This window comes from Homo sapiens, chromosome 3 (genome assembly GCF_000001405.40).
Source record: "Homo sapiens chromosome 3, GRCh38.p14 Primary Assembly".
Classification (NCBI taxonomy): domain Eukaryota; kingdom Metazoa; phylum Chordata; class Mammalia; order Primates; family Hominidae; genus Homo; species Homo sapiens.
This window is the reverse complement of record NC_000003.12, coordinates 100,647,039-100,661,511: the sequence shown is the minus strand read 5'-3', so window position 1 is coordinate 100,661,511 and position 14,473 is coordinate 100,647,039. Positions and strand designations below refer to the sequence as shown.

The following is a 14,473-nucleotide window of genomic DNA, read 5'->3' as shown; positions in this document are numbered from 1 at the left end:
GTGGTTTCAGTCTCTGCTAGTTCATATTGCATGTTTATTTGGGACAGTCTTTTGTTAAGCATGGTGCTTGTACTGGTTTAAATAAAATGTTAACATTAAAAGAAAAAAAGATATAGTCCCACTAAAGATGGTGGCTTTTACTCATCTGGTATTACTAAGTGGACCTATTTGTAAGCTTGCTATAAGCTCACAGACATGCTTGCTTTTATTAAGTCTACTTACTATATGAGCAAAATCTTATAGAATTAAATCTGAACTCATAGTCTCATTAGCACTGTATTCCAATCAATTTATGCTATGGAGATGGGGTCAGGGAGGGTAGAGTATATGTGTTTAATAGTTTCTGCTTTTTGTCTCTCCAACTGAATGCTCTTGTTGTATATCAGGGATGACAATGAAAATGCTTTTTGGAGCCAGAAAGGTTATAGAAAGGAGAGAAGCAGTACGGATGGGAACTGGTAAATCAGAAAGCACATGACCCCCGCAGGGAATGTCAGCTTAGAGTGGCCAGATATTCCAATTTTTTCAAGAGAAAATTCAATTCTTTTTTTTTTTTTTTGAGATGGAGTTTCGCTCTTGTTGCCCAGGCTGGAGTGCAATGGTGCAATCTCAGCTCACCACAACCTCCACCTCCTGGGTTCAAGCGATTCTCCTGCCTCAGCCTCCCAAGTAGTTGGGATTACAGGCATGTGCCACCACACCCGGCTAATTTTGTATTTTTAGTAAAGATGGGGTTTCTCCATGTTGGTCAGGCTGGTCTCAAACTACCAAGCTCAGGTGATCCACCCACCCCCGCCTCCCAAAGTTCTGGGATTACAGGCATGAGCCACTGCGCCCTGCCGAAAATTTAATTTTTAAGTGAGCTCTCCAAATTTTTGTATGTTTGCCACTAATTTAAAAAATTTAAGGCTGGGCACAGTGGCTCATGCCTGTAATCTCAGCACTTTGGGAGGCCAACTGGGGAGGATCACTTGAGCCCAGGAGGTCAAGACCAGCCTCTTTTTTACAGAGACTATATCGCTATAAAAAACAGAAAAAGATTAGCTGGGCATGGTATTGTGTGCCTGTAGTCCTAGCTACTCTGGAGGCTGAGGGGAGAGGATAACTTGAGTCCAGGAAGTCGAGGCTGCATTGAGCTGTGATCGTGCCACTGCACTCCAGCCTGGATGGCAGAGCAAGACCCTGTCTCAAAAAATAATAATAAAATAAAATAAATAAGAAATTTTAGTGCTATTGTGTAATTCAAGCAACACATGTAAAATATAGCCAACAGGTACTGGACTGTATTAATAAAATGAAAATCCAGGTATCAGCATTTTCCCACAACCTTCTCATTTCTTTAATTATCCAAATATGATTTCTTGAATATTTAGGATAAGGGACGAAAATTTTTTTTCTTGAAGTCTAGGTTTAGTTTTTAGTTGATCCTCACTTTGTTGAATCCACAGATGTGGAAACCCAGGATATTGAGAGCAGACTGTACGGATGTGAGAAGACGAGAAGATCCACCTTCTGAGTCAAAGTGTAAGAGAAAAATCTCTCCTGTAAACCACGTAGCCCTGCCATTGTCTCAGTTTGAAAGCTTCTGAAACTGTGGATGTGTTATGGTGCTGCGTTAAGTGCTGGATGAGCCTTGCCTGGCAGCTTCCCATTCATTGGGAATCTTACCTTGTCAGGTTCTGGTTATTCTTCCACAGCACTTTGATCGAGATTGTAATAAACATAACAACATTGCTGATGAGGATAATGGTTACAGGTACGATGAATGACCACAACAGCGGACTTTTTATAACACCATTGGGTTCTGGAATTGCCAGCCAGCAGCTGTGGAGGAAAAAAAAAATTGCTTCAGCAGACTAAGAAAGGTATACATACTGGTCTTTGTGCTATTAACACTATTGACATTCACTCAACTGAAAGATCTGCTAAAAGTTAACATCCCTCTGCATTTTACACATTTGAGATGACTTATGACTTTCAAGAATTCTACCCACTAGAAAAGTGAAATAATATACTATAACTTTAAACTGTCTCCTATTGATGGGCCTTTTTTTTTTTTTTTTTTTTTTTTTGAGACTGAGTCTTGCTCTGTCGCCCAGGCTGGACTGCAGTGGTGCAACCTCGGCTCACTGCAAGCTCCGCCTCCTGGGTTCACACCATTCTCCTGCCTCAGCCTCCCGAGTAGCTGGGACTACAGGCACCCGCCACCACGCCCAGCTGATTTTTTTGTATTTTTTTTTTTTAGTAGAGACGGAGTTTCACCGTGTTAGCCAGGATGGTCTCGATCTCCTGACCTCGTGATCCACCCACCTCGGCCTCCCAAAGTGCTGGGATTACAGGCATGAGCCACTGCACCCAGCCTTGATGGGCATTTTTTAAATATTAATGTTTAAAAAGAGTTTGAAAAAGTTATTTAACCTCATTGTACCTGTTTTGTGTTTGTTTTGTGGGGTTTATTTTGTTTTGTTTTGTTTTTTGGTGGTGGTGGTTGTAGTGGCGTTTTTTTCTCATCTGAGGTGAGAATAATAGTAACCACCTACAGGCATTGTTGAAAGAATTAATTAATTCATTTAATAAATATTTAGAGAGTACATATTATGTGCTAGACACTGTTTTAGACACCAAGGTATCAGCAGCGGACAAAACAAAAATCCCTTCTTTAGTGAGGTTACATTCTAGTGCAGAGAAATAGATAAAACAAAGTAAATAAAATACACAATATGTCAGATGGTGACGAATGCCATGGAGAAAAAGTAAATCAGGTAATGAGAGTAGAAATTACCGTGTATATGTGTGTGGAGGGGAGGGGTGTTTTATTTTAAATAGAGTGGTCAGGGAAAACCTCATGGAAAAAAGCTGTATTTGAGCAAAGACCTGAAGTAGATGATGGGGAAGGGTGTTCCAGGCAGAAATCACATCAAGTGCAAAGGCCCTGAGGTGACAGCTTAAGAAAGAAAAAAAGGCTAGTGTGGCTGAACCACAGTAAGTGGATAACGTTAGTGGAAAGATACAAATTATGTAGGAGCTTTGTGGGTGATTGCTTGTACCCTAGACAAGATGGAGAGACATGACGTGATCTGTCTTGAGTTTTAAAAACATTAATCCAGGTGCAGTGATGAGAGAACAGCATGAGCAAAAGTAGGAAATATAAGGTTGGTACAAAAGTAATGGCAAAAACTGCAATTACTTTTGCACCAACCTAATACCTAGGAGTCTATTGCAATAATATGGATAGTTTGGACCAGGAGAGGAGATGTTAAGAAATAGTCTGATTCCTGATATATTTAAAAGTAAAGCAAAATAATTTATTGATGGGTTGGATGTGGTATGTAGGGGATTAAGAATGACTCCAAAATCTGAGCACCTAGAAGGATAGAATTACTATTAACTGGGGAAGACGATGAGATGAGCAGGTTTGGGAGGGAAGATGAGGAGATGTCTATTAAACAGTCAAGTGGAGGTGTCAGGTAGGCCATTAGGTATTACAATGATGTGAGAAGCTATGGCACATATTTGGCATTCAATTAATTTTATTTTCTTTCCCCTGGAGTTTTGTAAAACACCATTATTATACACGTGAAAGGATTTCTAAATTTTTTTTGCATTGGAATAGTTTTAATTTAAATTATTGGAAATCATATTTCTAATCTGAATGACCTAGGAGGAAACTGAGATGATGTTCCATTCTCTATAATGAATTTAAAAATGCAAAGGCATGCTTGCCTCTAACAGATACAATAATAAGTCCATCCATAAATAAAATAGTGCCAAGTTTATCTTCAGGATGGTGGAGGTTGATCTGACAAATAGCTATGGACTTGAGGTCTGCAGAGCATTATAACTGGATGCAGATGAAGTGTTTAACTCCTTGGTTTGCCATGGAACATAGGGAAAGAAAGCTTCAGTGTAAAAACAATACTTGAAAAATTTCCCCCCAATTATAATTCCCCATGTTAACCTCAACCCTTTGGGAATGTCTGAAATGGCCTACATAGCAGTGGTACAGAGAACTGGGGGTAGAGCATTAAAGAGGAATGTGGCCTGCCCTACATTCACCCTGTAACTGGGTCTATGCAGACACAGCAGTACTTCAGGTAACTGGGTCAGGGATTTCAGGATGATTGGCAGAACTGGGAGCAACAGGGGAGTGCACAGGCTCTTGAGGAGCAACTGCTAGGAGAATAACTCAGGAAAACCAAAAATAATCCCTCCTGAGTTTCAATATATCCTGAAGAAATGTGGCCCTTGATGGCATGTGTGTAGGGTGGAAGGTGGGGGAGAAAGTTCAGGAGGAGGCAGATGCTTATGTCACACATCCTTTCCTCTCTCCCCAGCTTCTCTTATTATCAGTTGCCTCGTATCTTCCCCAACAACTAACACCGTAATCAGGAAAGGAGCTGCCCTTAATTATTTACAGCTCAGTGTGAATAAACTGAAGTCAGTTGGCTTCTTTCTTCTGAAGACTTTTAAAGGAGTGAGTCTAGCCCTGTGCCTGGGTTAACACCAATTAATAATGCAATTTGAAGTGAATTACCTCCCCTATGAGATATTTGCATCTTGGGTATCTCTAATTAGATATTTCTACTGGTGGCATTAAAATTTTAAAACCTAAAACTATATTTAACCATAATCAAACGTAGTATCTGGGAGCATGAAATCAGGCCAGGCAGTCAGCTCCCCAGCCTACAGTTGGGCATGATCAGCCCTGGGAAAGAGGAGTTCCCAGACACCACAGCCTTCCTTTGGTGTACTTGCCCATTTCCAAAAGTTTTGCTTTCATTTGCGTTGGTTTGGGACTTCCGGTGGAATTTGGAGATATGAATAGTTAGATTTATAAAATGAGAAGAGAGGATAAATTGAAGAGTAGTTGCCATTTGGTAGCAGAAATGCATATAAAGAGTTGAGTCTCAGTTCAGCTCCACTTTCTTTTCTCCCCCACACAAAAAAAGCAAATGTCATACAGTCAGATGCTTCTGTTACAACAGTTAATTATTCACACTGGAATCACAGGAAGAATTTGTTATGTATGATAAATCATCATGAAATATTCATTAAAATCATATCAACATAGAATTGGTTTATATGAGTGAGACATATAGTGTTCGAGTTATTAAATGTTTTCACACTTGATTGATCCCTTGAAGTAACCCCAGAACAGGAATTACTATTATTGTTATTCCCATTTTCTGGATGAGAAAACTAAGATATAGGATTACTAAGGATAATACCTATTGTATCATGATTTTCAGATTTAATGAAAGAAGACAAATTTAACATAAGAAAGTTCACATTTATAAATTTCGAAGGTGATTACTTGCTTTACAAAAGGACTTATGGGAAATTTCCATGTCATCACATTTAAAATATAACGTGTTCTTTGAGAATTTCAAATGTCTACCACTAAACATGACAATTATAAAGTGAAATGCAAATTACAGTGACACTCGGAGTCAATATCACTGAACAGTTACACTTTTAGGTCAAACAATTGGACATTTAAAAAAATATAAACTCACATTTTCTCTTGCCGGTAGTCTAATTCCCACTGTGGATTATTTCCATTCTGAGAATAAATAACTCCCACTGTTATAGCCACTACTATAGCTGGGACTCCTATGTGATAAAGAGAGGCACATAATTAATGATTTATCCAGACTTGGATTAATTATAAAAGATCATACATGAATTATACATCTGACCCTCTTCAGGATGTATGTTGTTTTCACTATGGACAATATACAAAGTGATCCTACAGATGTGGGTCGACAGTGGACATAATTTTTCTCCAAGTGTTTTCCCTTCCCTTTCACTGATGGCTCTACATATCAATCCTATTTCCAGTTTCTTTGTAACTCTTACCAGAATTGTCATGTTTCAGTGGCATAGTTCCTCAGTCACTTGAATACATTTAAATTTAGATATCCCTGAAACAAGTCTTCCTTTGCTGGAACCCAATAAATTTTTCAAATATTTTTGCTTAAAGAGTCACTCTGATTGTCTTTCTTGAAACATTTCTTTTAAACTAGCTGGAAGTTAATTATTTGTGGCTAAATCTCAAATCAAATTAATAAAAAGAGATGTTAAAGGAAATTAACATTTTTAAGTTAGTTAAGTTAGTTTACGATGTATCTCGTATTCTTGCCTTGATCGCATCTGCCTCCTTCACTGGAATATAAGCTACTAGACGGAACGTATTCTTAGCAATCACTATATTTTCTATCTCCTCTTAATTACGTCAAGGCCTTGGACTATTAGGCCTTCAATAAGTGTTTAAATTAAATGATTTCCACAAAATTAAATTCCTGAGAAAGGGGAGATGCAAACACTTACCCCATCCAATTAATGAGATGAAAAGAATGAAATGCCGAGGAAGAGGCTTCATGGTCCTTATTAGAAGGTAATAGAGCTGTGCAGCGCTGAGTGCGTTCCAGGTAAATGTCACTAACAGAAAATAGTGCAGTAAGGCGGCAATCGCAGTGCACATGGGATTCGGGATGTTAATGGTGTCTGTCCTGGGTATGTCATTATTGTCAAAGTCAATATTATTGATGTCACCATCACTTGTCTGCAAGTTCTTATTGGAGTTTTCAATTCCAAACACAAAGAGGAGGTTGAAAATCAACATTGATATGCACAGATTGACCAAAACCCAGGTTACTGAGGTTTTTCTGACTTTCCTGAAAATAAGTAAATTAATATAAAAAAATTAAATGAAACACAACAACTGCACAAAACAAACTGCAGTGAAATTTCTGGGAACAAAGAATATTATTGCCCAATGTAAGTTCAGTTCATAGCCCAGTTGTGACAGCTGGTAAATCTACCTTCTCGATTACATCAGAAAACTATACTTTCCTCTTATCATTTCCACAAAGTCATGAGTTAAAGGATACAGGTTGACATATCTTTTCTTGAAACTGTGTTCTGATCAAAAGTGATAGCTAATCTCCAAAAATGGCCCCCAGTGAACCCTACTTCCTGGTAGGTAGCCCTGCGTAGTCCCTTCACAGTAACCTGGCCTGTACCTTGATTTAACTGATGGGATGCAACAGAAGGCCTGGCAGCCAAGGCCGACTTATGCATTAGACACAATAGTGCTTAGTGTTCATATCCCATAGTAATGTTTTAACTTCTTTTAGACTCAGAAGAAAAAAGAGAACTCTTAGCTCAAAGGATATTAATATATTCATCTTTGTACCTATGCAATCATAAAATAAAATTTTTAATCTTTCATTAATGAATGAAAGGTTCCACAAAGGCACAAGTGCCTGGGGAACATAAAAGTCATAACATGGCCCTCCACGTGAGACAACCTAGTATAAAGGTGTACCGGGAGAACCTCCAACTGACCCGCGCACTGGGAGAACGGGGTGGAGCTGTGGGAAGTTCCTGCCCTTTGCAGAGGGGAGGAGCCTGGCCTCTCCTCTTCCGAGGAGGTATCCGTGGATTCAATCTGCACGGAGGGAAGCCTAGTAGCAGGACTCTCACTTTGCTGATAGTCCCTGTTTCCCTTTTTTTTCCTTTACACCCAATTAACCCTGTCCTTTTCACCCTTCAAAGTGTCTGCGAGCCTAACCTTTCATAGTCGCGTGACAAGAACCCAGCTTTTAGCTGAACAAAGGAGAAAATCCTATAACACTGACAGCTTTTCCTTTTGTGCTCCTGGAGTTCTGAGCCACTGTGTAAAAAGCCCAGCCACCTCGCTGAAAAAAAAAAAAATTGCATGAAAGTCCTCTGAGACTGTATGGAGAGGGAGAAAGATGCAGCTGCCCCAGCATCCTAGGTGAACCTCCAGATGACTCTGGCCCAGCCGCCATCTGACTGCAAGACTCCAGCAAGACCAGTAGAAAAATTACCCAGCTGAACCCAGACAAGCCACAAAATCATTAGAAATAATATGTGTTTCTATCCACTGAGTTTTGGGGCAGTTTTTTTAATATAACATGAGGTAATAAGTTCTACTGTAGATTTGCAAGCTTATGTGAAGGCCATCTGTAGAAGAGGCCCTATATGGAGTTTTAAAATTTTTATAATAGAAAACTCTGCACATTAGTAGATGAACTCATGTTTAAATGTAGAGAAAAAGTCTCTTGAGTTTTAAAATGTAATTTATATTTAAAAGTCACTTATACATTTTAAAATAAGGCCAAATACAATTTTTTAATAATTTCCCATAACAGTGTAACAGCTTTAAAACAAAATTAGGTAATATTCAGCTTACTTTACGTTTAAAGAATGAAGCTTACATGAAGATTTAAATTAGGTAAAAATATTTTTAATTTGTTTCATGGCCTATTGTTACTGATGCTATTCTTTATAATTTAAGTAGACTAATGATTACTGCTTTTTTAAATGGTTTATACATAACAATATTTCACATATCTTTTCTGCAAGACTTTTCAGAACCTTATTTTCATCAAGAATCTCCCTTGGACTAATGTTTCAAGGACCACATTTTGGGAAATGCTTGCTGATTGTCAGATGGTCAAGATGTCCTGAACCACATTTTGAATGTAAATCATTCCGAAGGACTATCCCTTTATTGGAAGATATAATTTCTGGGTGTACAACCAAGTGCTCTTTAAAATTGCCTTTTTTTCCCTTCTCATGCTTACCTAATGTCTTTGCTCTAAAAGAGCAGCTGTTTCTCTTATTTTGTCTGCAGGCCGGCCTTGTTTACCAGCAATTTTCAGAAGGCAGTATGAGTGAATGTGTATGAGTGTGTGTGTGTGTATGTGTGTATATGGTGTGGTGTGTGTGTATGTATGGTGTGGTGTGTGTAGTTCATGTATATATTCTGTGCTAGCCCACATGTATATCTTCAGATTGGCAGAGAATGCAAGATTTCTCTTAATAAAGTTGATTTCAGAAGTAAAATGTGATATTCTTTTTTGTACATGTATTATTTTCCTTATTGCTTAAAGGCAGATATATCCTTATATCCCCTTAAAGGCATGTTACACTTTCATGTACACTATGGCAGACAGTTCCTCGCCAATAAAAGTTATAAAATCTCTACTCACTACCATCTAAAGCCTTCTGGATTTTTCAGACTGCAAGACCTCTTGGAATACCATTTCCCAGGTTTATTACTATGCCTAAAGTTCTAACCTTCAAATGCCTCTCTATTCTTAATAACTCATAATTTGATGAAGTCTATTTGCCCATTATGTATTCTTTATGTTTTTACGATGTTTCATCATGACCTCGCTTGATCTTTGGATTCCCACACTGAACAAAAAAGCTTTCATTCAAACAGAACTCAGTCCATCTGCTTGACATTTTAGTTGAGATTTCTGGACAATTCAAAATTTCATTAAATCTATTGAGAGGTTTAATGACCAGAACTGCAAAAAGTACTCAGAAGAATCTTTTTATATAAAAGTAAGATTAGAGTCTAGTTTTTATCTAATTTTATCAATTATAATCCACAGGAAGAAGAGGTGATTTTCAAATAGCCTGGCCCTTCTTATAGATTATTACTATATAGATGCTCCTCAACTTACAATGAGATTGCATCACAACAAACCCATCGAAAACTAAAAATATCATTTCACCTTACCATATTTTCAATTTACAATGGGTTTATTGGGACATAACCCTATCATAAATCAAGAAACATCCTGAATGCTATCACTTTTGCAACATCTTAAAGCTGAAAAATCGTAAGTTGAACCATGGTCAGTAGGGGACTGTTTGTATTCTGTGCATTATTATTATATGGGAACCTGTCCAAGAACAAAGAAAATTTTATAATTCAGGATTTTAAAATCAATAAAATTTTGTCTTTATTTTTGTTTTGTTTTTTCTCTCTTTAAAAAAAAAAATTTGTTTGAGATGTGATCTTGCTGTATTGCCCAGGCTTGTCTCAAACTCCTGGGCTCAAGCAATCCTCCTGCCTTGGCCTCCCAAAGTGCTGGAATTATAGGTGTGAGCCTCCATGCCTGGTGTTTATTTTTATTTTTGTTTCCTGATGAATTTTAGTGGTATCTTTGGTTGCATAATTGTGCTAGAAAACATATTGATGAAAGAGGAAAAAAATCTGATGACAAATGAAAAGAGTGAGGTTTTGGCAAAGAAACTAGTTATGCAGCAACTATGACTCATCCCTATGGGACCAAATAATTGTCAGTACAACTGTGGTGATGGTAGAAATACAAATAATGAGACAAATTTAAGAGGCATTTAATTTTACATGACAAACATGTAATTTTCCTTCAAGGCACTTACCACAATTTGTAATATTCAGTTGTGTAGATATTTTTATAATGTCTGCCTTTTCCCCCCAACAGTGTATATTTCATGAGAGATGGGAGATTATCTGTCTGTTCATAGTTTTGTATTCAGCTCCTTACAACATAAGCACTCACTATAAAACTTTTAAATGAATGGCAAGAGACTCATTTAATGTGAAAAGGGGAAGAAAAGGAATCGAAAACAATTCTGGCTCTTTGGAGAAATGGCTGGTTCAGGTATGAGGCAGAGAAAGTGAAAGATGATCATTTTGCTTTTGATTGAAATAAGGAAGTGACTAAAGACTGAGACGTGGCAAAACAACATGAAGGGGCTCCCTCTGGCTACACTGGGAAGTATGCTTTTTACAAAAGAGTATAGCAAACAAATATAGAAAGAGTGATAGCCTAGAAAAATCACCATTTTTCAACCACTTAATGTAATAATTTGTTCCAGTAAGGATGAGTAACAAGATCATTAAGTAAAAGATTTTTGGGAAACAGGATATCATGCAGCCTCAAAGTGGCACCCCACGAGTCATCTATTATTTACACAGGGAAAAAATGTGGAAATCTGGCAGACATCACTTTAAACGAGGAATCAAACTTACAGCCAACAATAATGGGACATACTGATACGCACTTCTTGTTGTGTCACACTAAAAAAAATTCCATGATTGCAGTATTCCCACCAAAAATAATTAACCTGCATCTCTTCATGAGGAAAATTTCAGACAAATCTTCATTGTGGAACATTTTTCAAAGTAACTGGCCTGGATGCTTGAAAAATTTCAATGTCATGAAAGACCAAACAAACATGAAATGTGAAGTTGACAGAGGAAACACACAGTAAACGGAGTAAATTAATAAATGAACAAGCTTCTAAAAGACCGCAGGCAGTTAAAAAAATGTAGCATGTGACAAAAAATAATGAATGGGATACAAAATTGGACCTCAAATGAAGGGGTCAAGGTGGAGAGAAGTATTTGTTTATAGGTCATTATTTAAAATTAGAATTTAATGTATGGGATTCAAAAACTTTCACCATTTGAAAACTATATTTTTGAAAAACGTTTCACCATTTGAAAGCTTGATATATTTTTTAAATTACTTTTTTAAAAAATTGCTGTTTGCAATGTCTCTTTCCTTAACAAATACAAATTGCTAGGCATGGTTCTATTCAACACTGAGGAATTATAGCATTAATGAGCTGCAGGACCACATAAATTTTACATGACAAACTTGTAAATAAGTGGCATATAATTTTCTTTCAAGGCACTTGCCACAATTTGTAATTACGTATTTATTTGTGTGTATTTCTTAGCCTTTCCAGGCCTAAATGTCCTCCTCTGTAAAATAAGTACCTCTCTGAGTTCTTGCCTAGTTCAAAGACACTACTCATGAGAATTCTCAGAGTAAATTATATCAAGATAGCAATTTCTCTTCTGAAAAGAGCCTGCTTCTGCTCTTACCTGGTGACAATCTGAAATATAACTGTGAGAGCCAGACCAGTAACAGACAGTGCACATCCAACGTTGGATAATATGTCAAGTGATTTGGGATATTGATAATCCTTTTTGAAAGTCTGAAAAACAAGGTAAGACTCATATTTTTAATTAGTCATCCCTGAAGTGTTAATGAAAGTCAACATCACAGAGTTACATGGGTCAAAATAACCAGACAGTTGCCAGATATATCTTCCTTTTGTAAAGCTCATGATATATTTAAAAGCGAAATACATTAACCCCTTATTGCTGAGCAGTTTACCTGAAGTATACAGGCTTGAGAATAATTATCTAACTAATTCAGTTAAGGAAAAATATACAGTCATGTCTTGGTATTTGCAGGGGGACTGGTTTCAGAACAACTTGCAGATGCCAAAAGCCATGGATACTCAAGTCCTGCAGTTGGTCCTGTGCAACCTGCTGATGTGGAAAGCTGACCTGCATATACCAGTTTTGCACTCTGAAAATACTGTTATTTTCCATCTACGTTTCCTCATGGATGCAGAACCTGCCAATGTGGAGGGCAGACTTTTTTATTGAAAACAATCCACATATTAAGTGGACCCATACTGTCCCATGTGGTTCACAAGTCAACTATTTATACTTTTCCTTGATGTCTAAAATCAAAATTGTTTGAATTAGATCTAAATTGTCAAAAGTTGCCTCACTTATTCATGACATTATTTTTATGTGTAACTGGACTCTAAGTATATCTAAATTGATGCACTAAAAATAAAGTTGCAGAAATATTTTCATAAATATGGAAAGATGCTCATACCCTGTTAATTTTTTAAAGGAAGCCTTATTTTTATGTAATATAGCTATATATCTCTCAACATGTTTGCGTGTGTATATATATATGAAAATATGTACCATATGAGTATGTAATCTTAGAAATCTGGTGAGGTAGTGGTGGTGGTCACAGGGTGGGTTGGATATGTATAGTTCATTTTGCTTATCTGTACTTTCTGATTTTTTTAAGTTGTTAAAATTAGAAAAGCAATGTATTCTTATTTGTAAAATATGAAAGGAATATAGAGGCATAATAAAGAAGCATATGTTCCTTTATACTGCCTGCTACCCCACACCATACCTACCTCTTGAGAGCCTGTCTTTTTTTCTTACATGCTTAAAAATACTATCTATGTCTCTTACACAAACATACAGGGGTTTGCTAACATAATAGCATTATGCTTGAATTGCCATTTTACTTTTTCATAAACATTTTTCCATATCAGTATATTTTTGTTTGGTGCATACTTTCATGCTTTATGCAATGCCTGTGTATTGCTTTTATAGAAATAAAATAAAAACAAAATACACATTTAAAAATAAAACAAAAATTTTATGTTATTTCTTATACGTAGTGTACTAAGTAGATGCAAAAAGGATCGTAAGATTCATAGGTCTTCAGATTTTAAAAATAATATTTTTCACTCAGAGCCGATTTGCTCTTAATCATGCAATTTTAATCAGCCATTTAAAAAAATAATGCAAACCAAAACTAATTACAAATGTAGGTACGTAGACATTGAGACAGTCAGATACTAATGAGAAAAAATAGCTGAAAGCCTAACCTCAAGAAAGGGAAAAGATAACTATAATAAAGTAAACTATATCATTTAACATGTATAGCAACCTGAGCTTTACATAGCTCATCAATGATCCTATGACTTTAAGATATCAAAAAGTTAAATTTTTCTCCTGTATCTCCTGATTGAGAAGGCAGATCTCTCTGTAATACAAATTAGAAAAGAAATAATCCAAATGAATTTGAATAAGAGAGCTTTTATAATTAAAATGAGAAAACTACAGTTATCTCAAAAAGTTTTAAAAAGCAAGGTTCTGTGCTTTGATAATGCAAGCTATACCAGTATGTTCTACCAGTCTCCACTGGCTTCCCAAATATGGCTATATTATAGCTACTGGGGAATGAAAACATCTGCTTCTCCTTGGGAGATTCATAGCATTAATAGTCCCTTACTAAGGAGAAGAACACTCTTCATAATTCCCCATTCCATTGTGTATAAAAAACATTCCATCAAGTATATAAACTAACTTTTTTTTGTTTCACCGGAATAATAGATTTCTGGAAATAGAACATACAGAAGAAGCCCCTCTTCTTACAAAGGTCAGCACAAGAACCTTGAGAGACGCATGCACAGCTGCACGCCAGAGCTAAGTATTATCAGTTACTTGCACAGTATAGCTTTAGAGGTAAAAGAATTAAGGAATACACGGAGAAACTAGGGGACAAATTGAAGGGATTACAGAGTTTTTCTTTTATATCTTCTAGCAAAAACTTAGTAACCTGAGCAATTTCATTGGGAAAAGCTTTGGGTAACTGATTTAAACTGTCCACATACAGCTAAGTAAATATTGAACCTGTCTCTGGCACACAGCTATACAGCTTTACCTCTGGCTATAACAACTTTATGCTTCAGAACGTGTGAGTTAGTTGAATGGAGCCCACCAGCTTTTCTTTCGCACATGGACTCCCTTCCCATGATCAAATACATAGTTCTGACCTCTCTATCCTAAGACCACATAGCAAAAAGTTCTATTCTACTTGCCTTTACCTTAGTCCTATTTTTTTTGTTTGTTTTGTTTTTGTTTTCGAGACAGAGTCTCACTCTGTCACCCAGGTTGGAGTGCAGTGGTGTGATCTCGGCTCTCTGCAACCTCTGTCTCCCAGGTTCAAGCGATTCTCCTGCCTCAGCCTCCTGAGTAGCTGGG

The 14,473-nt window shown here is 36.9% G+C and overlaps 1 protein-coding gene across 3 annotated transcripts in view, besides 1 other annotated feature; it reads right to left on the bottom strand.

The window, feature by feature from the left end:
• Positions 1-14,473, bottom strand: part of ADGRG7 (adhesion G protein-coupled receptor G7) — an 85,879-nt gene that overhangs the window by 33,968 nt on the left and 37,438 nt on the right. For all 3 annotated transcript variants that reach the window (NM_032787.3, XM_047449088.1, NM_001308362.1), the window contains 4 exons: positions 11,705-11,817; positions 6,331-6,677; positions 5,517-5,613; positions 1,669-1,824 (listed from right to left, as the gene is read on the bottom strand). In NM_032787.3, the coding sequence (NP_116176.2) occupies positions 1,669-1,824; positions 5,517-5,613; positions 6,331-6,677; positions 11,705-11,817 (713 nt within the window). The remainder of the gene's footprint in view (positions 1-1,668; positions 1,825-5,516; positions 5,614-6,330; positions 6,678-11,704; positions 11,818-14,473) is intronic.
• Positions 10,477-10,526: an enhancer, noted in NCBI's record as "active region_20162". NCBI's record gives its function as "activates an Ori minimal core promoter by ATAC-STARR-seq in GM12878 lymphoblastoid cells {active_cell/tissue: GM12878}" and the evidence as "EXISTENCE:reporter gene assay evidence [ECO:0000049][PMID:35858748]".